The 26903-nt window shown below is 38.1% G+C and overlaps 1 protein-coding gene and 1 pseudogene across 13 annotated transcripts in view; both read left to right on the top strand.

The window, feature by feature from the left end:
* The window catches only part of ENPP2 (ectonucleotide pyrophosphatase/phosphodiesterase 2), a 116305-nt gene that overhangs the window by 40386 nt on the left and 49016 nt on the right, over positions 1-26903 (top strand). For all 13 annotated transcript variants that reach the window (XM_024447182.2, XM_017013573.2, XM_017013574.2 and 10 more), the window contains exons 3-9: positions 6285-6440; positions 11486-11611; positions 13701-13761; positions 15442-15539; positions 15762-15841; positions 16621-16740; positions 25028-25083. In XM_024447182.2, the coding sequence (XP_024302950.1) occupies positions 6285-6440; positions 11486-11611; positions 13701-13761; positions 15442-15539; positions 15762-15841; positions 16621-16740; positions 25028-25083 (697 nt within the window). The remainder of the gene's footprint in view (positions 1-6284; positions 6441-11485; positions 11612-13700; positions 13762-15441; positions 15540-15761; positions 15842-16620; positions 16741-25027; positions 25084-26903) is intronic.
* CYCSP23 (CYCS pseudogene 23) lies at positions 14531-14849 on the top strand (annotated as a pseudogene).

The raw sequence follows: 26903 nt of genomic DNA, 5'->3' as shown, positions 1-26903 counted from the left end.
CGGCTCACTGCAACCTCCACCTCAAGCAATTCTCTTGCCTCAGCCCTAGCTGAGATTACAGGTGTGCACCCCCATGCCTGGCTAATTTTGTATTTTTAGTAAAGATGGGTTTTCTCCATGTTTGTCAGGCTGGTCTTGAACTCCCAACCTCAGGTGATCGGCCCACCTTGGCCTCCCAAAGTCTTGGGATTACAGGCGTGAGCCACCGTGCCCGGCCGGCACTAGAATTCTACAACCCTACCTCTCTATACATATTGTAAGATGGAATATTTTAGACATAAAGTTGACTTAAGTAAAAGTAATTGTACCTGTTTCTGTCAGAATTATGAATTTGAATGAAATAACGTATGTTTTACATTGGTGTTTCTTTAAATCATGAAATTATGCTTCTGTGAAAAATAAGAAATGCATTGCATTGTTGTTATACATGTCATATATGTACCTATGTGTATTTTAAAATTTGAGGTTTCTATTTTTTAAAAGAACACTATATAAAGCTATGAACATTTGTTTTTCAAGATTCTGGAACTGACTTGCATCTTTGAAGTAAAATAACATCATTTGAATATGTATTTTAAAAGGCGGCAATAGAATTTGAATCTCATAAAGGTATTAGCAAATGCCTCATAAGAAATTTCAAGCCTCCATCATACTTATCACATATTTCTGCCTTGATACATTTGGAGAGTACTTTTTGTTTGTTTTAGTTGTTTTCTGCGCTGTTACGGCCATCTCAGTAATGATGAAAAATTTGGGATACCACAAGTTTGTTGATGTTTCAGTTTTCATCCCGCCTCTCAATAAGTTACACATCTGAAGTGCTTACATCAATGTTCTCTTGATTTAGGTCAAGTAAAGGAAGACAACAGATTTTAAAACTCAGACTTCTAACAAATCGGATAATCTTTCCCTATTTGACATTACGTCAGGTACAATAAAGAGAGAAGTCCTAAAAACTTCAAATGCATGCAGGAACAAAGGACTGAGGGATGAGCAGAATGTTCAGATAAATGGCTTGGGCGAGCCTGGAAATGACATTTAACATCGTTCTCCTTCTGCTTCTTGATTTTTCTTGATTTTAAACATCTTAGGCTGGGTGTAGGGAGAAGGACAGGGAACGTGAAGACTCCAAGTATACTGACTTGATTTTTATCAACTACATGAATGTATTATCACCCCAAAACTATGTACCTCTATTATTCATCCATAAAAAATGATTAAAAAAAGAATATGAAGGTGGATTGCAGAACTCCTAGGAAAACAGTTGGGACTAGAGCTTGTCGTGAAAGAAGATGGCTGGGACGGAATAGACCCTGGAAAGGCAGAGTGAATATTCCACTCTATTGTTCTATTTTATTTATTTGTTAATTTAATCATTTTGTTTATTTTTTTTGTACACTCATCAAGATGGTCTTTTCCATTGCACACAGGAGTGTGTGGCATTACTGAGTGTCATCATACACTCACTGTATTTTATTTAAAAGAGATAGACTGGGCGTGGTGGCTCACGCCTGTAATCCCAGCACTTTGGAAGGCCAAGGTGGGCGGATCACAATGTCAGGAGATCGAGACCATCCTGGCTAACACGGTGAAACCCGGTCTGTACTAAAAATACAAAAAATTAGCCGGGCATGGTGGTGGGCACCTGTAGTCCCAGCTACTCAGGAGGCTGAGGCAGGAGAATGGTGTGAACCCAGAAGACAGAGCTTGTAGTGAGCCAAGATTGCGCCACTGCACTCCAGCCTGGGTGACAGAGCAAGACTCCGTCTCAAAAAAAAAAAAAAAAAAAAAAAAAAAAAAGATAGCAGCATGGCTGGGCGCAGTGGCTCACACCTGTAATCCCAGCACTTTGGGAGGCCAAGGCAGGCGGATCACGAGGTCAGGAGTTCAAGACCAGCCTGACCAACATGGTGAAACCCCGTCTCTACCAAAAATACAAAAAATTAGCCGGGCATAGTGGCGGGTGCCTGTTATTCCAGCTACTCGGGAGGCTGAGGCAGGAGAATCACTTGAACCCAGGAGGCGGGGGTTGCAGTGAGCCGAGATCGCACCATTACACTCCAGCCTGGGTGACAAGAGCAAAACTCCGTCTCAGAAAAGAAAAAAAAGAAAAAAAAAAAGAGATAGCAGCTCAAATTTATTTGGGTTATTGGTTTATAAGAGGTTCTATATGGCTCAAACTACCTTCCCTTTTTCTTTCCTGTCATTCTCAGCTGAATTCAAATCATCCGAGAATGAATTTTGACATAGGTATATCCTAATCCACCCAGCCCCAGGAGTATACCCTAATTTGAAGCTGTCAATAACTTGATCTTAAGTACAGTACTTCTTTTGAGATACATCTTGGCATTATGAGTGTAAGGCTAACTCTAACAAAGTTGTCTTTAGTTTTGCTTGTCTTTAGGTTTGGCAAGAACTGTAACTGATAGGGACCGACTATTAAGTGAGATTCAATTATTTTCCAAAAACAAAGCAAAGGACAAATTTAGAGAATGATTAATGTTGTAAGAAAATAGTAAAAATCAGGTGAATGAGTGAAGAAAGATTAAATGTGGCTAAAAATTCACACAGATACTCTGAAAGTAAAGAAAGAAATAGGCCGGATGTGGTGGCTTAAGCCTGTAACCCCAGCACTTTGGAAGGCCAAAGTAGGTGGATCACCTGAGGTCAGGAGTTAAAGACCAGCCTGACCAACATGGTGAAACCCTGTCTCTACTAAAAATACGAAAATTGCTGGACATGGTGGTGGGTGCCTCTAATCCCAGCTACTCAGGAGGCTGAGGCAGGAGAACCCTTTGAACCCGGGAGGCAGAGGTTGCAGTGAGCCGAGATCACACCATTGCACTCCAGCCTGGGCAACAAGAGCAAAACTCCGTCTCAAAAAAAAAAAAGAAAGAAATAGGGAAGAAATGATGATGAAGGAAAGCAAGGCGCGTGGTTGCAGGACAATTTCAAATGCATGCAGGAACACCGCACATCTGTAAACAAATTGCCTTTAGATCTCTTTGAAGTATCTCAGCTATCAGCATAGCTAAGCTTATTTATTTAAGCAGCTCGTGGGAATGAATTCTACTGAAAATTTACTAGAACGCTGTTGAAATGAGTCTATCTAAGCAGTATCCTTAAGGAATATTCAATTGTAAGTACTTTCCTTATATTTATTTTTACTGTAGGACTTTCTCTATTTTTTTCTGTTTTGTAATTTTTTTTTTGTTTTACTTCTCAACCCCTCCTGCCTCCATGGTTTCTTATGGTTCAGCATGCACTGTTGATAGGTTGGTCAAAGACAATAGAAAAATGTGCTTTATGGACCACTGCATTGGAAATGAATATTATTTTCTAAACTGAACTCGTACGGTTTGTATGTCTTTCAAAATCCTAGGAGCAACCATGCAAAAGTGTTTCACATCTCATGATCTGGTAAATCTGTTTGCTTTAGTTGAACTGATCTGATGCCATAAAGGCTGGGATTGGATGACTCTGACTTTAAGACTTTAACGAGGACAAAGGACTAAGGGATGAGCAGAATGTTCAGATAAATGGCTTGGGTGAACCTAGAAGTGACATTTAACATCTGTTCTTCTCCTGCTTCTTGCTTTTTCTTGATTTTAAAAGTAAAACATGAATTATAAAAAATGAAAAATTCATAAGCATGTAAATAAGAAAATAAAATTATAAATCGCATGTCAATAATATTTGTTAGGATATTTACATATATGGTATATTTTATACATATATACACATACCCACACACACATATATTATATGGTATATATTTTGTACATATATATACATACCCACACACACATCTATTATACGGTATATATTTTGTACATATACACATACCCACACATACATATATGACATATATTTTGTGCATATGTATACATACCCACACAGACATATATTATACAGTATATATTTTGTACATAAATATACATACCCACACGCACATATATTGTATGGTATTTATATATAATGAGAGAGAAGGAAAGAGAAAGTAAGTAAGCAAACAAAAAGACCAGGCAACTACCTGTGAATTTGTAGAATGTTAGAAATTTCAAACATCAGGAAGGTAAAAATCTTCTTCCTCTTTCTTTCTCATTTTCCCTAAATGTAATTCCATAACCTGTTTCTTACAGAAGGAAAAAGTTTGTTCACACCTGCATTTTAAAAACGTGATGCAAACTTGGACATTTTCTCCCTCCTTCTGCCCTACCCTGTCTCTCACTCGTCTCTAGTTTTGGCTCTGTTTTTATTTCTATCTTCATTTCTATCCTTATTGCCCTGTTTATCTCTATTTTTAAACACAAAGTCTAATATATAACACTCTATCCTGTATTTATTCTTTAAACAACTTATTTATATATTTTGTAGATCTTTCCATATTAGCCTACACCGATCTGACTCATTCTTTTTAAGGAGTGTGCAATAGTCCTCTTACGGTGCAATAGTCCACTTATGGATATAGCGATTCTTTCTTTCTTGACGGGAAAAACAACTTTGGTTGATTTCAGGATCTCTTTACCTGTAATAAAAGGACTGCAATGAACAATGGACATTTTTTGTACATGTAGCTTGGCAAACTTTTGCAAATATGTGTAAATGGTAAATTTCTAGTAATAGAATTTCTGGGTGAAACATTTATAAGCATTTAAACATGTTGATAGGTCTTTCTAAATTATATTCTACTTTACAAAAATTTTAATTCCTGGAAACAGTTATGAGGCTGTTTATATTTTCCATTTAGCAGAAATTATTTTGTATATTGAGATGAGACCCTAACTTAATTATTTATAGTCCCTACTTACTGATTGGCTCCCATCCACAACATTAATCTACTTATTTTCTAGTATCAGACTACTTTGATTATTTAACTTCAGAATATACTTTGCTATCTAGTCTTTATCAAATTACTTTTCCTTTTCAGAGGTTTTCTATTTTAAAATATTTTATTTTTAAATAAGTGTTTAAAATTTTTTCAAGTTTCATGAACTCTCAGTATTTTTGGCTGTGATTGCACTGAGTCTTCTGGTTTGTTTAGGAAGAATTAATATTTTTATAATATTGATATTTTTACCTTTAAGGTGGTATGTCTTTCATTTTAATTAGATCATATATATATATATATATATATATTTTTAAGACGGAGTTTCACTCTGTTACCCAGGCTGGAGTGCAATAGTGCGATCTCTGCTCACTGCAACCTCTGCCTCCCAGGTTCGGGCAATTCTCCTGCCTCAGCCTCCCGAGTAGCTGATATTACAGGCACCTGCCACCACGCTGGGCTAATTTTTGTATTTTTAGTAGAGACTGGGTTTTACTGTGTTGGCCAGGCTGGTCTCGAACTCCTGACCTCAGATGATCCACCGACCTCGGCCTCCCAAAGTGCTGGGATTACAGGTATGAGGCACCTTGCCCCCACCTTAATTAGATCTTAAAAATTTTTTTTTTGGTAGACTTTTCTCATGTATGTTGGTTCTACATACATATGATTAAATTTATACCAAATAAAATACCTAGCTATTTTATCATTTAGGCCCTATTGAGAATGAAACTTCTGTTTAATTTTGAAACTATATTGTGTGCATATTACAAATTTGTGGAATTTTGATCTCACTGAATTCTTTTTTTCCCCAAATTTTAGTTGATTCTTTTGATTTCTGATATACACCTATATCATGTGAAAATATTGATGGAGGAGTTTTTTGAGAAGCCCAGATTATAGAGCTTGTATTTGTAAAACACTAGCTGAAACTGTAAAAGTCTTCTATTCCAATCTCATATATTCGTTCTGTTCTTGGAACATTTGAGCTGAATTTTCCTTGTAAAAAGTTTTGGATTTTTAAATAGGGACATGCTCTCTTGTTTCTAAGGATATAGATCAAGGTACTGTTCTCTGTGGTCATCGTTAGCACCCACAGGGGCACTAATCATCACAGATTTGCAGTAATAATAATTATAAATAGTAATTGAACAAATCACCAACACTTGTTACTCTTTCTATATGTCTGACATGCGGCTAAGTGTTTTACATGGATTGATTCATTTAATTCTCTTTTCAACATAGAGTTACTTTTATGAGTCCCCCACTTTACAGATGAGGAAATCGTAGAACAAGGAAGTTGGGCAACCTGCCCAGAGTACATGGGTAGTAAGTAATGGAGCCAGTGTTCTCCTCCAGAGTCCACTGCAGCATCACACCGCACAGCTTCCCAGTGCCACCTTTCCATGGTGACATGACCACTCTCCAGTCCATTGTTTTTGCCTCTTGTTCTTTGCAGTGCTATCAGACTCCCCCTGGACCAACATCTCCGGATCTTGCAAGGGCAGGTGCTTTGAACTTCAAGAGGCTGGACCTCCTGATTGTCGCTGTGACAACTTGTGTAAGAGCTATACCAGTTGCTGCCATGACTTTGATGAGCTGTGTTTGAAGACAGGTACGTAACTTATGAGTCCTCTCTACCTTCAAGTAGATGGCTTAAAGACTGCCTGCTATTGTATGCATCCTGGAGTGGCCACCCTGCTTTGGTCTATCCAAACTGTGGATTCTAGTTTTGTTTGTTGAATGATTATTGGTTCTTTGAAGAGCATACCCTATGTCAATGACCATTGTTTCCACATAGGTTCCAGCAGAGAAAGGTTCTTTGCAGCTGCAGTCATGATGTGCTGGTTTTGCAAATGTTTTTTGTTTTTGTTTTTGTTTCTTCACCTTCATCCTTTCTATATCTTTCTGTCAATTCCCACATTCACTGCTAGGGCTTGTGGGCTAAAATTGTGTATGTTCTTTTTTATTACTTATTTATTTATTAAGAGATAGCATCTCACTGTGTTGGTCAGGTTGGTCTTGAACTCCTGGCTTCAAGCCATCTTCCCGCCTCAGCCTCCCAAAGTGCTAGGATTATAGGAGTGAGCCACTGTGCCTGGCCTAATTGTGTACATTCTTTAAAAAAATTTTTTTTCTTGCTTTCCCAGCTTCTAGCATTTGTTTCACTTCATCTTATCGTACAGTAACTGTTAGTGTGCCTGTCATTCCCTGCCGTCTGCAAATGGAAAATTGTTATGGAATTCTGTTTGGAGTCTCACGCTCTGGGTAGCTCTAAAATCTTCCTCCACACTTTTTGTGACTTTCTTTACATTTCTTTTGTGCTGGAACAGTTACTAGGATGTACAGGCTTCTGTATGAATGCACATGAGTTGAGAAAAACACCTCTGGGGACTTCTGCCATCCCACCTACTCTGTTTTCAAAGCACAATATTTCAGATAGGATTTTTGAGATATCTTGTAAGCTATCCACCATGCTTCTGGACAACACCATACACAAACTATCTGAGAAAGACAACCGTCAATGCTGTTCTTGACATCACCAGAAGCAGTTTCCATGGTTTCCTTGGCAGGTTATTTCTTGTTTTTGGACTTTTATGCTTAGACAATTCTTTCAAAGACCTAACTCTTACTATCATTGCTATTAGTTTGATCTTTCAAATTTTATCATTAGAAACAGTTATTACTGTGTTTTGCCTAAGTGGTAGCTCTTGATTTATATGAAATCCAACATAAACTTCCTTACTAGTTCTGATTTGTTTTCCTCCTGCGTCCCTGCAATAAGAACAGCTTCATTAGGCTGTTTTTTGCAGAACACATTTTCCAACCATTTAACCACTTTTTTGGGGGTTGCTTTCCTTTGGAACTTCTCCCAGTTTCTTTTAATTGTGGATCTGCAAACTAAATTGCTGAGACTATTGTAAACTGAATGTATAGATGGAACAGATGTTCCAGCAGAGTTTTTTTGGCTCTAAAACATTATTTCAAGCCAGCAATCTGTGTTTGCTTGGCACTGAGGAATTTACTAATGTTTTATGTTTCCTCCTTACCTTGAATATCTTGTCTGTGGCATGTCATATCAAACTTCTGGATTCCTGGTCTTAGAATTCTTTGCAAAATGTAATGAATCCCTGACTCTAGCTTAGCTCTCTTTTGAATGTAGTTCATGCCTTTGTTCCTCAATTTATTAAGGATGGGATATAATATCTTATAGTCCATTTCCCTGTGTACAAAGATAACATATCCTGAATGTGAAGGAATCAAATATCAAATAATAATAAAAGGATGAATAGAAAAACAAAAGGCTCTGAGATTCTCCTTTGTTGAGGGAGCACTGCCGAGAAACAACCACAATGTTTCAGCGAAACTTTGATAACTCTGTGTGTGTGTGTTTTCAGTATGTATCTATGTGTGCATGTATACTCTTCCAACTGTGTGTATATATATGCATGTGTGCGAAAGTATCTGTATTAATAAATCTTTATACAAATCGTCCTTTTGAATGGCTATGTAATATTCCATTGAACTGTTGCAACCTAATTCATTGAGTAATTAAATGAATATTTCCCTGAGTTTTACTATTATGAATGATGTATCAATGAATATAATTGATGCATATTCATACTTTTGCCTATTCTCCTTAAGATAAATTTTTGGAAGTGGGATTTTGGGGTCAAAGTATATGTGCATTTTTTTTAAATTTAAATATACATTACTAAATTATACTTCTGAAAGTTTATGTTTCTACTAAAGGACACAAGGACCTTTCATCACTTCCTTTTCAGCATTGAATACTCTTATTTTTAAAAATATTTTTAAAATAATCTGGTAGGTGACCTCCTCCTTATTTTCCAATAAGGTTAAATATTTTTTATGTTTATTCCCATGTTTGCTTTGAAAATTACACAGATGACTGACTTGTCCTTTGTGTATAGTTCACTTTAAACTCTGGATTTATTTTATATTTCATTTGTACATAAAGACAATAGTTCCTCAATAAACATAGCTTATTAATAATGATATTCTTTTGTAAGTAATGTAGATGTGATTTTCTTATGGAATTAGGAGTGGAATAAAAGTTTATTGGTGGATAGAATCACCTTGAATTGAAAAAACCCCACAATATCTAGAGTCAAAGCAACCTTAGAAGATTGCTCATCATTGGGAAGAGCAGGTCATGGGAAAAGCAATTCTAAGCACTTAATCTCCTCGAGAAGAGATAGGAATGGAAACGGGATATTAAAAAATTAGAATGGCTGGGCATAGTGGCTCATGCCTGTAATCTCAGCACTTTGGGAGGCTGAGGGAGGCAGATCACTTGAAGTCAGGAGTTCGAGACCAGCCTGGCCAGCATGATGAAATCCCATCTCTACTAAAAATACAAAAATTACCCAGGCATGGGGGGAGGCACCTGTAATCCCAGTTTCTTGGGAAGCTGAGTCAGGAGAATCACTTGAACCTGAAAGGTAGAGGTTGCAGTGAGCTGAGATTATGCCACTGCACTCTAGCCCAGGCGACAGAGTGAGACTCTGTCTCAAAAAAACAAAACAAAACAACAAAAAATATCAGACAGCAGAATCAGGATGCAAAGGTAATTCTAAAAGAATAAAAATTAAATAGTAATTGCATGGTTTTCTGGCTAATGATTTACCAAAAGGGGCAGGGGTAGCAGTTATGCCAAACAACTAATATCTCTCTCTCTTTTTTAATCTTTTTAGATGGAGTCTCCTCCTGTCACCCATGCTGGAGTGCAATGGCATGATCTTGGCTCACTGCAACCTCTGCCTCCTGGGTTCAAGCGATTCTCCTGCCTCAGCCTCCTGAGTAGCTGGGATTACAGGCATGCACCACCATGCCCGGCTAATTTTTTGTATCTTTAGTAGAGACGGGGTTTCACCATGTTGGCCAGGCTGGTCTCGAACTCCTGACCTCACGATCCACCTGCCTCGGCCTCCCAAAGTGCTGGGATTACAGACATGAGCCACTGAGCCTGGCCCGTAATATCTCTTTATTAATGTATTCACCTAACAATAGTTGTTTCTCTTGGTAGAATATTACTAAGAGGCAGGATTGCTTTAAAAATCATTTCTTTCCACTTATCACATATTTTAAGAGATAAAGACCTGAAGTGTTCATATGTATTTTAGCTCAGTGACACCTTTCTTGACCATTCTACTTCCTGGAGTAGCACCTATTTCACCCTATCTTTCTCTATCAATGCCACCTGTTACTTCCTTCACAACATTTGGCATAAGCTGAAATGATCTTGCTTATTGATTTACTTGCCTATGATCTGTCTTTTCCAATTGGAATGTAAGCTCCATGAAGACAGACCTAGTCTCTCCTGTTCTTTATGACATCCTGGCACCGAGAACACGGAAAACATGGTATAAGAGTCAATGAGTAAATGAGTTAACTATGAAAGTTCTCAATAGAGTAGTTCTGAATTTAAAGAGTTATATTTTATCTCCATGGTCATTTCCAATTCAATTTAATACATATTGATTGAACACCTAGCATGTGCCAGGCGCAGTCTCCCAGGCTTACAGTCTGCCACTGGAAATAGAAGAGCGAAGAGAGAGGTGTCACTTTTCCTGCCATGGCGCTTACACTCTAGCAGATGAAAAAGTCAAAAAACACAGCACTCCTTTTAAAATGGAAAGGTTGTTTTTCTGAAATGTAAGAATTAAGCAGTGAGCTGTCAATCAGGTATGTTCAGAGGGAAATCTGTAACCCATTTACTTGGCTTGAAAGTAGGAACTCTGACCTGTCATTGTAGGTAGGACCACAATGGGTCAGTGGTTAGAATCTTGAGCAAACATTGTAATGCCCCCTTTATACTCTTCACATCCTATTTAGGACTTTAACCTCCAGGTGCAGATAGAAACCATGTAGTTGTCCTGTTATTTGTGTTTGAATCACACTGATTAACGCTAAGCACAGCTACTTTAGGCTAGGTGCTGTGGCTCATGCCTGTAATCCCAGCACATTGGGAGGCCAAGGTGGGAGGATCACCTGAGGTCAGGAGTTTGAGACCAGCCTGGCCACCATGGTGAAACCCCGTCTCTACTAAAAATACAAAAATTAGCCAGACGTGATGGCATATGTTTGTAATCCCAGCTACTCAGGAGGCTGAGGCGGGATAATCGCTTGAACCAGGGAGGCGGAGGTTACAGTGAGCCGAGATTGCGCCACAGCACTCCAGAGTGGGCAAGAGAGCAAGACTCTGTCAAAAATAAATAAATAAATAAAATAAAAATAAAGCTAAGCACACCCACTTCAGAAATTAAAAGAGCCAAGCTATAGAGGCTGTCCCTACAACAGTAGATAGCCCTATCATAAACCTTTGATGTCATAAATTTGTTGGGTCCTTTAGGACAATTCGAGAATCGTAGGGATACTTGCTTGCCTTTCAGGGCCCCATTTTTCCAAAGGAACCCAATTGCATTTTGATGTTGTTCTCTGATTTGAAAACTTAGAAATTCATCTTATCTGTAAATTCTCCAAATGTCCTCTGGGCCTCAAGCCAACTCAAATTTCACAAGCAGAGTAAATGATGTGAGATTTTAGCTTTCTTCATTGGAAATCCTGTAAGCAATTGTGGCTTCTTTCATTTGGTTAGTGTGCAGCAGTGAAAATGTTTTATTGGGATGATTTTAGCCCGTGGCTGGGAGTGTACTAAGGACAGATGTGGAGAAGTCAGAAATGAAGAAAATGCCTGTCACTGCTCAGAGGACTGCTTGGCCAGGGGAGACTGCTGTACCAATTACCAAGTGGTTTGCAAAGGTACGTGTTTCTTTGGATTGGCCTGAGCTTTAAAAGAATAAAAACTGGAGGTGCTCCAGGAGATCCTGGATGCTAGGAATAGACCACACTGGATATGAGTTTGGGAGGAAGGAATGAATTGTCCTTTTTAATTTCTCATGCTTCTTCATTAGTTTTGCTACTCTGTATTTCACTGATCTGAAGTAACAAGGGAAGAAACCAGAATTTCTTAATTAGACAGAAACATAATAATGAAGAGATTTCTAAATTTCCTATCTTGGTTTTAGGTCAAGTTTTCTAGAAGCAGATCCTGAGACAGGAATTCGGTACATGCAGTTTATTGAGGAAACGGATATACTGCAGGAAAACCATGTCGGAGGAAAGGGAAGCAGGATAGGGAAGGAGGAGTGTGGAGAGACAAGTGAGGACATGCTCTCAGTTAGCCTCGCCTCCCTCTATTGCTTGCTCTGAAAAGTAAATCCAGGTCACTACTCTTGAGGCAAGGAACCAGGGCTTTTTTATCTATTGGATGTACACTGTTCACCAAGGCATTGGCAACTGCCCAGGGATGGGGGTACTTGCTGGTAAAGGGGATGAGGGGGCCAGCATTTCCTGTTATACCCCAAAGCCATATATGCATGAGTGTTGGCTTTGTCTGGTTGATTGTAGAATATGATGCTTTTATTCCAACAATTAACAATAGTTAATGGACTACAGAAAATATAAAAGATGCAGTTATTCTCTTTAATGGGTTTAAGTTGCCGTGCAACCCACTTATAGAAGTTGATGGGAAGATCCAAGAATCTTTATCTATTGTTTGTAAGTCACTTTTTAAATTTCAAAATCAAGTCCTTTTCATTATCTCTGATGTGGAACATTTAAGAAGAAGTTCATTAAAAGATTTCAGGAAAAAAATCAAGTTACTTCTGCAATATGTAAGGTGTTTAGTTGTGGCAAGAGGGTGTTATATTAATATATTTGAAGAATTTCCCCATACCCAAACAATTATTGTATTGTTAATTTCCCCTACCCAATAATTATGCTTTTATTTTGAAGCATAAAATTGGTTGAGAATTTATTTCCCTTTCCTTTTTAATTTGCCTGTGCAGTAAGTGTACCAGGAAGCCACAAAGGCTGTTAGAAATAAAATTTTTTTTAAAAAAAGAAGCCCTTGGAATCATTGATCATTGAATCATTAAGCATTGGCTTTTACTGGTTTAAAATTCTAGTTTCAGTACTTTTGTGAGGCCCACGTGTGTGCTCTGGGTTACTATATGTGTAGCAAATCTTCTTTATTTTAAGGAGCATAATAGTTACCCCATTGTCCAGTAGTTAGAGTCTTATTGACCAGAGAAGATTTCCAGTTCTCTTTACATGGGAGCAATTTCTCCAATGTGTTGGTTACAAATTTTACTTCTGTTCAGGATATGTAACTTTTGTTTGTCTTAAAATAATTTAAGGCAAATTCTTTTTGATAACTTGTATTTTCTTCAAAGCAAAGCTTATGTTTTTATCTGAGGCCTTTTCTGTTCTCTATTCTCGACATTATGCTCTTAGATCTTGGTGGAAGATAAAAAGTGAAATTTAGCATTTTTTTCTTTCTAAATTCAAGGGCTGTATGGAGATTTATTGGCAAATAATCTTTCTATTGTAATCTTCCACTTATTATCTCTGTAGATTCTAAGACTTTTTTTTTTTTTTTTAGCATCTAAAGGGAAGTTTTGCCATGCTTTCTATGGCTTTGAGATCTCCAGTGGTGGAGAAAAGAATGTTCCATCTAATGACCAAACAGTTTATTTCTGGAGGGATACAAACATGAAATTTTGTTCACTGACGCCACTGGTTTTTTTAATCTACAAACCATTTAGACTCGGAAGGCTCAAATAAACACCTCACCACTTGTGGTTATTAAATCTTAGCTTTCCCATCATGTATGGGTGTACTTTATAAGCCAAACCAGACACTAGATTTTTTTTTCAGAATTTTTTTTTTTTTTTGTTATATCCCATAAAGAAAGTATCAAACAGGACACAGATCCTGGAATTGTGAGCTTCAAGGCATGGCATTTGTAATTAGATTCAACAATACATTTACCCATTTTTCCTTATAGGAGAGTCGCATTGGGTTGATGATGACTGTGAGGAAATAAAGGCCGCAGAATGCCCTGCAGGGTAAGTGTATTTTATGACTATTTTGAAGTTTTATGTATTAGCTGATAAACTCTCACAGGAAATGAAAAGAGAAGTATTTAGAAACAATGTGGAACTGAAATTCTCTTATACAGGCAAACTTATGAGTACTTAGGAGTAATTCATGAGTCGAAAGGTTGAAGGTAGGTCTTGAAATGGTGATAGTTTTCTTCCCCCCAGTTTTCTCCAATCACCTCTGCACATATTGGGGTCTGAACATCCCCTATATTCCACCTCAGCTGAGGATTTTACAAAGTGCATCTGAATATTCTGGCTAAGACTTTTTTTCAGTATTGTTTTTCCTGGAGTTCTTGTTTTGCCTACTTTGCGGGGAGTGGGGAATGAAAGAGGAAGTCCTGAGAACCTTTAAAACTGTGTTATCCAATAAGTAATTATTACTTATTGATTACACACCTGTAATCCCAGCACTTGGGAGGCTGAGGCGGGCATATCATTTGAGGTCAGGAGTTTGAGACCAGCCTGGCCAACATGGTGACACCCCGCCTCTACTAAAAAAAAAATACAAAAAAAATTAGCCAGCGCTTGTAATCCCAGCTACTTGGGAGGCAGAGGCATGAGAATCGCTTGAACCCAGGAGGCAGAGGTTGCATTGAGCCCAGATTGTGCCACTGGACTCCAGCCTGGATGAAAGAGACCCCCTCTAAAAAAAAAAAAGGCATCCAAGGCAGTGGGACATCTGGCTTCTGAATGGGAACCTTTATAGCACCAGCAACCAAAGAGAGAATTAAATATGGGTGATGTTGAAAAAGGCAAGAGAATTTTTGTTCAGAAGTGTGCCCAGTTCCACACTGTTGAAAAGGGAGGCAAACAGGTGGCTGGGTCAAATCTCCATGGTCTCTTTGTGGGGAAGACAGATCAGGCCATTGGATTCTCTTATACAGAGGCCCATAAGAACAAAAGCATCTCCTGGGGAGAGGATACACTCATGGAGTATTTGGAGAATCCCAAGAAGCACATCCCCGGAACAAAAATGATCTTCGCAGGCATGAAGAACAAGGCAGAAAGGGCAGCCTTGATAGCTCATCTCAAAAAAAGCTACCAATGAATAATAACAGGTCACTGTGTTATTTGTTACAAAACAGAAATGTTTCATGACTTCTTAATCTGTACCTTAACAGATCTCATACACAAGAATTCAGATAATGAATGACTGACAGAGTATTTTTGTTGGGCAGTCTTGATTTAACCATGACTGGCTTGTGGTTAAATGGTTAAATGAATATGTTCGGTTATTTTATTTTATTATATTTTTTTTGAGATGGAGTTTCACTCTTGTCGCCCAGGCTGGAGTGCAATGGTGCGATCTCAGCTCACTGCAACATCTGTCTCCCCTGTTCAAGTGATTCTCCTGCCTCAGCATTCCAAGTAGCTGGGATTACAGGTGCCCGCCACCACGTGCAGCTGATTTTTGTATTTGTAGTAGAGATGGGGGTTTCACCATGTTGCCAGGCTGGTCTCGAACTCCTGACCTCAGGTGATCAGCCCGCCTCGGACTCCCAAAGTGCTGGGATTATAAGCGTAAGCCATCACGCCCGGTGAAATTTTTTCTTGGAAATTATTGCTCCCATTATTGAGAATCACTAGGCGTAATGGCAACTCTGGTAATAATGTTTCTAAAAGCTTAATGTGTTACTGTTTAAGGTTTGTTCGCCCTCCATTAATCATCTTCTCCGTGGATGGCTTCCGTGCATCATACATGAAGAAAGGCAGCAAAGTCATGCCTAATATTGAAAAACTAAGTAAGTAATTTCCATACTCTGTGTTCTTATCTGTAATCTAGGATCTCCACACTAACCAGTGGGCTGTGGGCTTTGAGATCTATGGGCACGTAGTTTTAAATGTGTTTTATTATTTGAAATACAGAAGTGAAGGTAACACATGTCTGAGTGTTTATAAAATGGATTTTCTATAAGCAATTCCTGTTGGTTCTCTTGTTCTAATATTTGCAATTCTCTTTCCAGGGTCTTGTGGCACACACTCTCCCTACATGAGGCCGGTGTACCCAACTAAAACCTTTCCTAACTTATACACTTTGGCCACTGTAAGTATTTTTTCGAATGATACACATTCAAAGGGCTGATTTCATCCTGGAATGACTTTAAAGGAGAGACTTTACTTTTAAAACGTGTTCCTTAGTGTTCAAAGAAAATCTTTCTGTTTTCCATCTTAACTGGGTCATTTGTTCACAGCAAATGCCTTTTACAACTTTGTGGGTGATGGAACTTCATTCCAACTTTAAAGCTGAAAACTTTTTTCAGGTGCAGTTCTGTTTGAACACATACATTAAACTTCTCTCAAATACCAGAGGGTCTATTGTTTATTTTCTGAATTTGCAAATAAAAATGTTGACTTCAGGGCTATATTTTAATTTTCAGGTACTTCAAATTCTACCACTCTTCCTTCTTTAAAACATAATTTATTTATATATTTTTATTGATTCGGGGAGCAATAGAATTTAGAAAGAAAGAAAAGTGTATTTAGAAATAGAAGCTTCTTTGGAGGCACATGTATACATTCCAAACTAAAGGTTAATTTATTGTAATGAAAATTATTGTCATCTTCTTAAATTACAGCAGAAAAAAACCCCAATGTTAAATTTCTTATAATCATATTAAGTTTCTCAGATGGCTTATAATTTGTCCCATAGATATTATTCATGTTTGCTCAAACAGATACACAGTGAAGGTTATACATGTCTTATATAATTTTGGAAATTAAGTATTGCTATAAAACCTTCTATGCTAAGAAAATTCATACTAGAACTAATGTATGTGGATTATTGTATTGTTATTTTAACAATAAATTTGCTTTTACAAAAAGGGGCTATATCCAGAATCACATGGAATTGTTGGCAATTCAATGTATGATCCTGTATTTGATGCCACTTTTCATCTGCGAGGGCGAGAGAAATTTAATCATAGATGGTGGGGAGGTCAACCGGTAAGTTTTGCATTTATTGTGTGTCTATGTGTTTGTGTGTTCATGTATTGAGACATTTCATCCCCAAATTTGTTAGATGTGGAAAAAATGCGTATAATTTCCTCATACTTGGCAATGTTTCTGTCTTTTGATACTTTTAATATACATACAAACATGAAATATGTGTATATATGCATTATATATATATCTGAAATATGTGTATATATGCATTATATATCTGATATATGTATATATTATATATTTATGTATGTGTACATACATATGTGCACATAGAATATACATGTATGTATACATATGTGTATGTGTCTCTGTGTGTATATATGCATGCATCTTTGTGAGGCTATGATTATAAAAGTGAGATGATATGAATGTCTTCCCTAGGATTATGGTGGTGACAATGGTGATGAGGTGAATTTCAGAACCATTTTGACAAAGAAATAGTCAGATCTCATTGATTTCCCAGATTTAGGCGTATAATAAAAAAGAGAAGTGTATGACTGTGACTTCCCCAATATGCTAGCCCTGATGCTATAATAACAGAAACAGGGAAACTTGCTGGAAAAAAAGGGAACTCACTGAAATCCACAGTAAATTCATGAATTTTTTTATTTAATCTATTTTTTAAAAATCATGAAGTTAAATACAAAAAGCAGAATCCTACCTTGATACTGAAATAGCAAATTAATACTTTGAAAAGAAATCACCCTGTTTACTTCAGATCAAATGACTGGGCAGAAAATAAAAAGGGTTGTAGGTGGCTTTCTACCTAATGTTTTTCCTGTGACCGTGTGTATGGTTACGCAACTTGCTTTGGTCAGACATGAGCAAAGCAGCATAAAGCCACAGTTGTTGAATGTGCAGAGCTGGGCTGAAGTGTACAAGCTTCTGGCCAGAAGTATCAGAATCACCTAGGAACATAACCCAGGGCACACAGGCAATCAGAAACATGTAGAAGTAAGATGGTAAGTGGTTCCATCTCATGCCAATTCTGATTGGAGACAGTGGCTTCCTGCAGCACTGGTTAGAGAAGAGGGCTGGGAGAACTTTGTGCACTCAACCGTGGCATGACTGGTGGGCAGTGTCTGCACACATCCATGTATCCACCATGCCTCAATGATCTTGTACCTGGAAATCTTTTGCTGCAATTTATGGACAAAATAAGGACTATAAATAGAAATTTTTTCTTAAGGTATCTCACTTTAAGAAAAGGTCATTTGTGATCAAAATATTTATATTGCATAATAGGTAAATCAGTATGCAAGGATAAATATGAGCTTTTTATTAAAAAAATAAACATTGAAAGACTTCTTGTACATCTGCAGATAAGTTTCTTTATAATAGATGCTCTGATTCTGCTGTCTTTATTCAGGCTGGACTCCCAGAAGTCCATAATGGCCTAGGGTGTGATCATAGTGAAATTTGTTGACAGGGTGGATTATTCAAAGTTTATGATAGGGGAATATTTTATGAGTACACAAAATGATTGAAATTAGAGCTCCATTAAGCTTTCACTAGTGGGTCTTTTATATTAATTTGATTATGGAAGCAAACTTACCTGAAGAACCTTAAAGGATTAGAGATAAATAGTAATTTTATCAAATTGGATCACCTTACACCAAGTGTTGACATAAGGTTTGCTTTGGGTTAGGATGACTCAGAAGAAGATGAGGCCACATATTCATTAACTTCTGCAAAAGCAGAGCAGAGGAAATGCTGTTAACCTGCCCAATGAAGTGAAGTCTCTGTTTCAGCTCTGTTTACCTGTTTCCTCACTAACTCCCAAAGTTGACGCATCTGACCAAGTTTAGTACTCTCCTCATGCTGACCAAGATTTGTGGTGAAACTGACTAGTGTTTCTGTCATCTTGGGCAAGATGGCCACCATAAGAATTCCTAGGAGGGGCCGGGCGTGGTGGCTCATGTGCGATGGCTCAGCACTTTGGGAGGCTGAGGTGGGTGGATCATGAGGTCAGGAGTTTGAGACCAGCCTGGCCAACATAGTGAAACTCCATCTCTACTAAAGATACAAAAAATTAGCCAGGTGTGGTGGCAGGCACCTGTAATCCTAGCTACTCGGGAGGCTGAGGCAGGAAAATTGCTTGAAGCTGGAGGTGGAGGTTGCAGTGAGTTGAGATCACACCATTGCACTCCAGCCCGGGTGACAGTGCGAGACTCCATCTCAAAAAAAAAAAAAAAAAAAAAAGATTTCCCAGGAGCATAGTAACTACAATTTAAAAACACATTTTATTGAAATTTGGCATATTGGAAAAACATATAGACAAAGTATTGTTCTATTCTATTATACAGTAGGGTGTTCTATTATACAGTAGGGTGACTATAGCAAATAACAATGTAGTGTATTTAAGATGGAAAATTTTAAATGTTGTCACCAAAAAGAAATGATAAATGTTTAAAGTTATGGATATGGTAATTACCCTGATTTGATCATTATACAATGTACACATGCATTGAAACATCACACTGTATCCCATAAATATGCACAATTATTATATGTCAGTTATAAATAAAAAGTAATTAAAAAGAAACTTTAGTCAAAGTATAAGAGTATAAGCAACTAAAAGTACTATAAGAAAAAATTAATGAATATTCTACAAGCATTTATACCATCCTCTCAGAGGCTTCGTTTTAAAATCACCAGTGAAAAAATATTTATAAAAGTCTTATAATTTTTTATACATTTATAAGAGAAAATATTTATACAAATCTTAGATTGATAATTAAATTAAACTCAATTTATTTTTACTGAGGGACTAAACCATGCAAGACATTTAGCCAAATGGCATAGGGGTCAGATTACATGGTGAATAAAAGCCACTTCTTGTCCTAGCATAAACTCTAGTAGATGGGATGAGGCAATTGTACAATGGCCATTTGAAAATTTGAATCTAAATAGGCGTCTTCCGAAAATAATTTAATTTAGTCTTTTATAATTTAATTTAATCTTTGTTTTTTAGCCTTGATATAGTCAATTAAAGTCTAGTCTGCTTTTAATTTGTTAATACTCAACATGCATTGCTAGAAGCAGTCGTTTGCTGTAGGACCCTGCATTTCTCATACGTAGTTTAATGGAGTTCCTTAAGTGGGTTGGTTTCTTTGGAAATTCTCTCTGCTACGGTCCTGCAATTTCTAATACAAAGATACTTCCATGGGGTTGTTCCCTGTTCTGTTTAAATCTGGATTCTCAGCAATGGGAGGAATGAATGGGATTCCTAGGAGTTGACTAAATGTGGAGATTTGAGAAACAAGTTTAATACCCCATCATGATCCAAGTCTCCTGAAGTCAGCATTTCTGGAGTAAGGTGTTTCTAAGAGAAGCAGATTATTATTTTTTAAAAATTTATTATTATATTTAATGAGACAACATCTTAGTATAGTCGCCCAGGCTGGAGTGCAGTGGCATGATTTTGGCTCACTGCAGTCTCAGCCTCTCGGGCTCAAGCAACACTCCCACCTCAGCCTCCTGAGCAGGTGGGACTATAGGCACACACTACCATGCCTGGCTAATTTTTGTATCTTTTGTAGAGACAACATTTCGCCTTGTTGCCCAGGATTGTCTCCAACTTCTGAGCTCAAGCAAGGTGCCTGCCTCAGCCTCTCAAAGTCTTGGTATTACAGGCGTGATCCCAACTGCAACTGTCCAGCAGATGCATTCTTATCACTTAAGTTGCTTGACCTAGAATTGCTCTCTGCCAGTATTGGTGGTACAATGAGTTGGAACAGAAGCCATTTTAGTGAATGACTGCAGTGAAAAAATGCAAGAAATGTGTGTTTAAGACAGAGACAGCAGGAGAAGAAGAATGACACAGAATAGGGGTGACTTTCCAGGCCAAAAGGGGTTGACTTGATGGAAAGTACAAGTCATTGCTAACCTCTTTTTATCTGTTTTATTGTCCTGATAAAGAGACAATATTTCTTTTCAGGAACATTTAACCTATTCTTTATTCTGTTGTTTCTTTTCCATATACTACCGCAGACCTGCAGTTTTTTCTCTTTGTACTGTATCCAAATGTACCTAGTTAGGGCGAGCTCTGCTAACCTGGTGCCTTTGCTTACCAGCCTCTTATTTTTCTTCCAAATTTCAGCTGAAGTGTCTGTCCCGAGGAGGCCTTCCTTCCCCCAGCATTTCCAGCTCTGGCTAAGCAAAGTGACTGTCCTTTGGGCTTTTATATTTTTACTATCATAAATTTGGAAATCTCTTTTTATTTTTATTTTTTTTGAGACAGAGTTTTGCTCTGTCGCCCAGGCTGGAGGGCAGTGGCACAGTCTCGGCTCACAGCAACCTCCGCCTCCCGGGTTCAAGTGATTCTCATACCTCTACCTCCTGGGTAGCTGGGATTACAGGCGTGTGCCACCATGCCCAGATAAAATTTTTTTGTATTTTTAGTAGAGTGGCGTTTCACTATGTCAACCAGTCTGGTCTTGAACTCCTGACCTCAAGTGATCTGTCTGCCTTGGCCTCCCAAAGTGCTGGGATTACAGGTGTGAGCCACGGCGCCCGGCCTGACCACCTCCTTTTGAAGTTGGTTATTCACAGGTCTGCTTTACACTGCGGGTCCCATGCAGGTAGGGACTTGGTGTATTTCTGTTTCGAAGACCCAATCTAGAGCCTGGCTCCGCTATTGTGTTTCGGATGGAACTGTTCTTTGTTTCCTTCGGGGGCATATTTGGCCTGTGCTTCCCCTAGGGTAGGTGGCCTTAAGGACAGCACTCCATCTCAGCCTCGGCAGCTCCGGCCACATGCCAACAGCTTCCTCACTCACCTCCTTCTGGCCCTAATCACGTGGAAACCAGCTGCATTGGGCCCCAGTCTCTTCTGCTGCCTCCCCCAACCCCCACACCCTTAATTTGTTCTGATTCTCAGCGATTGATCTGCTGAAGCAAGTGCTCCACCGATCCCCTGGTCTCCTAGAATTCTGTTTATCCTAGCTCAATGCTTTCGAGTGCAAAGGAATGATTTCCCTTCGAGGAACTGCTAGAAAGACTGCACTAGTAGTTTATGTTTTTTGAAAAAATGTTTTTGGCTAATATTTTTCTTTTTCCAAACTTCTCCTTTTCTCCCAAAGCTACATGCTGAATTTGAGAAAGTGTTGAATTTCATATTTAACCTACTTGGTTCCTGTGGAGGAAGCCTTTTTGATTTCTAATAAATAGCACATCACAAGATACAATGTCATTCCCATTTGTCCCCTTTTCACAAAGCAGCATCTAGGACACAAATGTTGAAAGCTGGGCCTCCAGATAAAGGAAAGCAATGCAGGGAGTTTTGGGATTAGAGGGAGAAAGCCCAAACCCAGTGTTTTCTTAAGCTTATTTTTTTAGTTGTATTTTTTTTTTTTTTTTTAAAGACAGAATCTCACTCTGTCATCCAGGCTGGAGGGCAGTGGTGCAATCTCAGCTCACTACAACCTGTACCTCCTGGGTTTAAGCGATTCTCCTGCCTCAGCCTCCTGAGTAGCTGGGATTACAGGTGCCTATCACGACTCCTGGCTGGTTTTTTGTATCTTTAGTAGAGATGGGTTTCACCATGTTGGCCAGGCTGGTCTCGAACTCCTGACCTCAGGCGATCCACCCTCTTCGGCCTCCCAAAGTGCTGGGATTATAGGCGTGAGCCACCACACCTGGCCTGATTTTTTTTTTTAAACTACCCTCTGAAGAAATTTATATTGCATTCAAATTCAGAGAAACTTTGACACTTATATCTCTGAATTAACAAGGAACCGGGAAGCTTCTCTCTCTCTCTCTCTCTCTCTCTCTTTTATAACCTTATCGGCTTGTATTCACTTTTCTTCTTCTGGACCAATATTTTAGTGCCTTTTTCCCCCCCTTGGGAAAATGTGCTTTTCATTTTAAGTATTTTATCTTTTTTGTTCAGTTTTTATACTTTTCTGATCATGCTCTCAATTTTCTTTTTGAAAATGTGGTCAACCTGACTTTTACCAAGAAACAGGCAGAATTTTTCTGCTTTTTGATTTTGTTTTTAGAAGAAATACAAATTTTACCTTTAAATTGCCTCCATAGTTTACACTGTATGCTTCTAAGACACTGCTTTTTAAAATTGGTTAGTTTTTTTTTTCTGATTACAAGTAAGTTGATTGTCACTGTAAAATTGTTGGAAAGTACAGAAAAATATAAAGAACAAATGATCTTAATTTTGCCATCATAATAATTTTAACATACCCTGTCATTTTCACTCTGTGTGCTCCTTCCTTTTGACACTGTAAAGACCTCTTCCAGTGATCTTTTTTCCCTAAGGATTACTGAGTTAAATTAACTCTCAGAACTTCCTGTTGCCCTAATGATGCCAACATCAGCATGTATTCTACCGTATACTTTTTGAAAGTGCAGGTCATTATTTGAGAAATTTGTATTAAAAGTGTGTTTTCCTTTAGGAAACTCCATATTAATCTTAAATTTCATAGATGCCAAGTATTGCCTAGTACAATCTTCTTGGAAATAGCAAGGCAGTACATCTAGGAAGTTGTTTGGATATTGGAATGTGCTAAGATTGTGTATAAGCAATTAAAATAAGTATGAAAATAGATCCCTTAATATAAGGAACTGGCCTCTTTGGGAACTGGCATGGTTTTATAGTGTGTCCAGCACTTCATTTGAGCTCATCTTCTTGCTGGTGGAGGTGCTGGAACAAGAATGAATGAAAGTCCAGGACACATTCTGAACCCTAGTTGGGCTGGGGTTCCTGGAGGATGCCAGAATTTGTCTTTAAAATAGAAAGAGCTTTGGACTAAATGGAGTGAAGGACTCTCAGAACAATCTGAGATTCTTATGTCTCCAAACATCCCAGGGAACCAAAAGTCTGGCCAAGAAGGTCTGGTCCCTCAGAGCCATGTGAACAGGATGAGGCCCCTACCTCTCCCAGGCTGATGAAATTCACCAGCAGCTCAGAACCCACAGACTGAAGAGTGCTCTGTACGTTCTCCTGCCCCATCCCTCATTTGCCAGCTACAGTAGCTGTTAGTTTGGGGCTGAGGATTTCTAGAGGCTCCAAGGGGGCTGGAACCCTTTTCGAGCTTTCCCAGGGCAGGTATCCCAGGTGATTTTGAAACAATGGTTAAGCTTCTGGATGTTCTCCACCTCCCAGTTACCCATTTCCTCAAAAAATAAGTTGTCACTCTTTAAGGATACTCTCAAAGGCTGGTGACAATGAAACCAGAAAAGGGGCTGGCTACAATTCCCAGATCATTTTTGTTTTGGTCTTAGGCAAACCACAATTCTCTCTCGTATTTGCTTCCATTCTCTTTCTTTAAGTGAGGGGGTTTCTTCTCATAGACTTCTGTTCAGTGGGACACTTGCCATCTTAGGCTGTTTTTAATATTACTAGAATAATTGGATTATTTATTTCCATTATTGCATAACAATAAATATGTAAATTTATCGAGTGTTTGCCAGATGTTAAGACACTGGTTTAAGGACTTTAAATGTATTAACTCATTAAAGCTTAGAATAATCCTATATGCTAGATAAGATTATTTACATTGTAAAGGAAACAGAAACACAAAGATATTAAGTAACTTGCCAAAGGACTACATGGCTGGTAAGTGACAGAAACAAGGCTTAAAATCCAAACTGTCTGATTGCAGAGCCCAGGTTCTAAACTCCTATATCTTATGCCTCCCCAATAGTACACGGTGTAAAGAATATTTTAAAAACCTTGATGAAATGCTTGGTTCACTTAACTTATTCTAGGAACTTTCCTCTAAAATAACATTTACTAAAAGGCTAGGTAAAAGATTTAGGAAAAATCAAAATTAAAAATTAGCCTTTTTCCCCCTTCTCATTCATCTAGTTTAAACTAAAACAAGACAATCTGGATTCCAAAATTCTGACATCTGGATGCCAAATTGGGGCACTCCTCCTTGAGGCTTTCAATAGTAAAGGAAACATATGGCCCACTCTTGGGTCCTTTGATGAGCAGAATTATGCTGCATAAGTTAATTGTTCAAAACAATGATCAGAAAAGACAGGTACAGAAGAGAGAGGCTTTTGAGATAAAATAAGATTTTAAAAAATATGTCACTAGAATCATAGCAGGAGCTTTTGAGAGCTTTTGCAGAGAATATATTGAATAACATTTGTGGAAATAATGATTCTGACTTCCAGATGTGAAAATAAATGGTTGCAAATAATGGAAAATTTATGTTGGGGTGTGAGTAGAGTATAAGATATCTGATCTAATGTATTTTAAAAACTTTTTCTTCTTTGACAAAAACACAGAACACATTTTAAGCCGCTTATATTTTCCTCATTAGCTATGGATTACAGCCACCAAGCAAGGGGTGAAAGCTGGAACATTCTTTTGGTCTGTGTAAGTTACCTTTATTTTGTCAATGTTTATAAAATGACAGCTATGATTCAATTTCTAAAACATCAATTTAAGTTTTATTTTGTTTCAGTTAAATGTGAAAATATAGAACTTTTGAATATTTACTAAATCAAAATAACCTTCCAGGTGTTTTTTTCCTGAGATCCTCCCTCTGTGCCTCATCCTACCTTCTTTTTGTCCTCCAGCTCTCCTTTTTTCCATCCTGTCTCTCTCTATTTTTTTTTTTTTTGAGATGGAGTCTTGCCCTGTCACCCAGGCTAGAGTGCAGTGGCGCAATCTTGGCTCACTGCAACCTCTGCCTCCCGGGTTCAAGTGATTCTCCTGCCTCAGCCTCCCAAGTGGCTGGAATTACAGGCACCTGCTACCACTCCCGGCTAATTTTTTGTATCTTTAGTAGAGACAGGGTTTCACCACGTTTGCGAGGCTGGTCTCAAACTCCTGACCTTGTGATCCTCCCGCCTCTGTCTCCCAAAGTGCTGGGATTACAGGCATGAGCCACCGTGCCCAGCCCCATCCTCTCAACAGAATGTAAGATGGTCTCTCCTCCTTCCGGATGTCCTTTAGATTTTTCTATTCCTGTTTGTAGGTTTTTGGTAACTTGCCATCTAGGACATGTATATTTCTCTTAGACTATTTATGGCAGTGGCTGTCGTTATCATTTTCTATAAATATATGACAACATATTATATTTATTTTGGTTCACAACTTAAAAATATCTAGATGGTCTCAGGCCTCTGGGGAGCCGAAGGAGTCGTCTAGAGATTGAAAGTTCCAGACAGGAGACCAAGGGGAAGCCTCTATTTTCACCTCATTTTCCCACTGAACTCCAGGATTTTTCTAATAAGAAAGTGGGGCTCCTTCCCATCCCTAAAGAAGTGATGGGGGGATAAGCAGTTAATGTTCATAAGCCTTAAGATGAATCTTACCTAATAAAAGTATCAACATGTTGATGATTTTTAAGGTTCCTTAGTAAGAAAAGGAATCTGTTTCAACTTTCACGGGGATTTTGTTCCCACTGAGATGTTCTTTCCATCTTTTTTTTTTTTTTAAACCACCTAAAGCTGTTTCTGTATTTGCCTGTATGCCTAACAAAAATCTGACTATTCTATAATAGCAGTGTGCTGAGAGCTACTGCAGGCTCAAATTAATCCAGAACGGTACTGTCTATACTCTCTAAAATCAGAAATAAAAGTAGCTTTTTCAGATTTGAAGGGCTAAATTGAAATTGGGTTTGGTGATTTGAATCTAGCACACACTGTCCCTTTAAGAGATTTCTTTCTTTCTTTTTTTTTTTTTTAAAGAGGTTTCTGAGCTGAGAAGTAAGTGTAGGTAGGTTGGAAATGATACTGCTTAATATAAACAGCATGTTGATTTACCAGTGTTATCCTATGTGTGACATTTCTTTAACTCTTGACTGTCATAGACGCTCATAGAAGTATTTTCTTCTGTTCTGTAACATATTTGCCTGGCAGAATGGAGAGGAGCCAACAACATAATTAATACTGAGTCCCCACCTTTGCCCCCCTGAAACTGCTGCAAAGCCTCATTGAAAAGGCCCAGTGTTCTGGTTTTGAATGGCAATTTTCTCCACCCATTTGAAATCACTTATAAGAAGGTGGCTTTTGTATGCTCCAAAGATGTCTGTAGCTTTCATTTGCTTCTCAGACTATTATTTTAACTCTGTATCCTGAAAGTGACTTGGATTCATTTTTTCCCCTTTTTTTTGAAGTATTTTACAACTTTAAAAAAATAGGATCACACTTTCAGTTAGTTAAGAGAATATATACGTCAAGGAAATCTAC

Source organism: Homo sapiens, chromosome 8, assembly GCF_000001405.40.
Source record: "Homo sapiens chromosome 8, GRCh38.p14 Primary Assembly".
NCBI lineage: Eukaryota > Metazoa > Chordata > Mammalia > Primates > Hominidae > Homo > Homo sapiens.
Note: the sequence above shows the minus strand (reverse complement) of the source record. Positions and strands in the feature narration are given on the sequence as shown.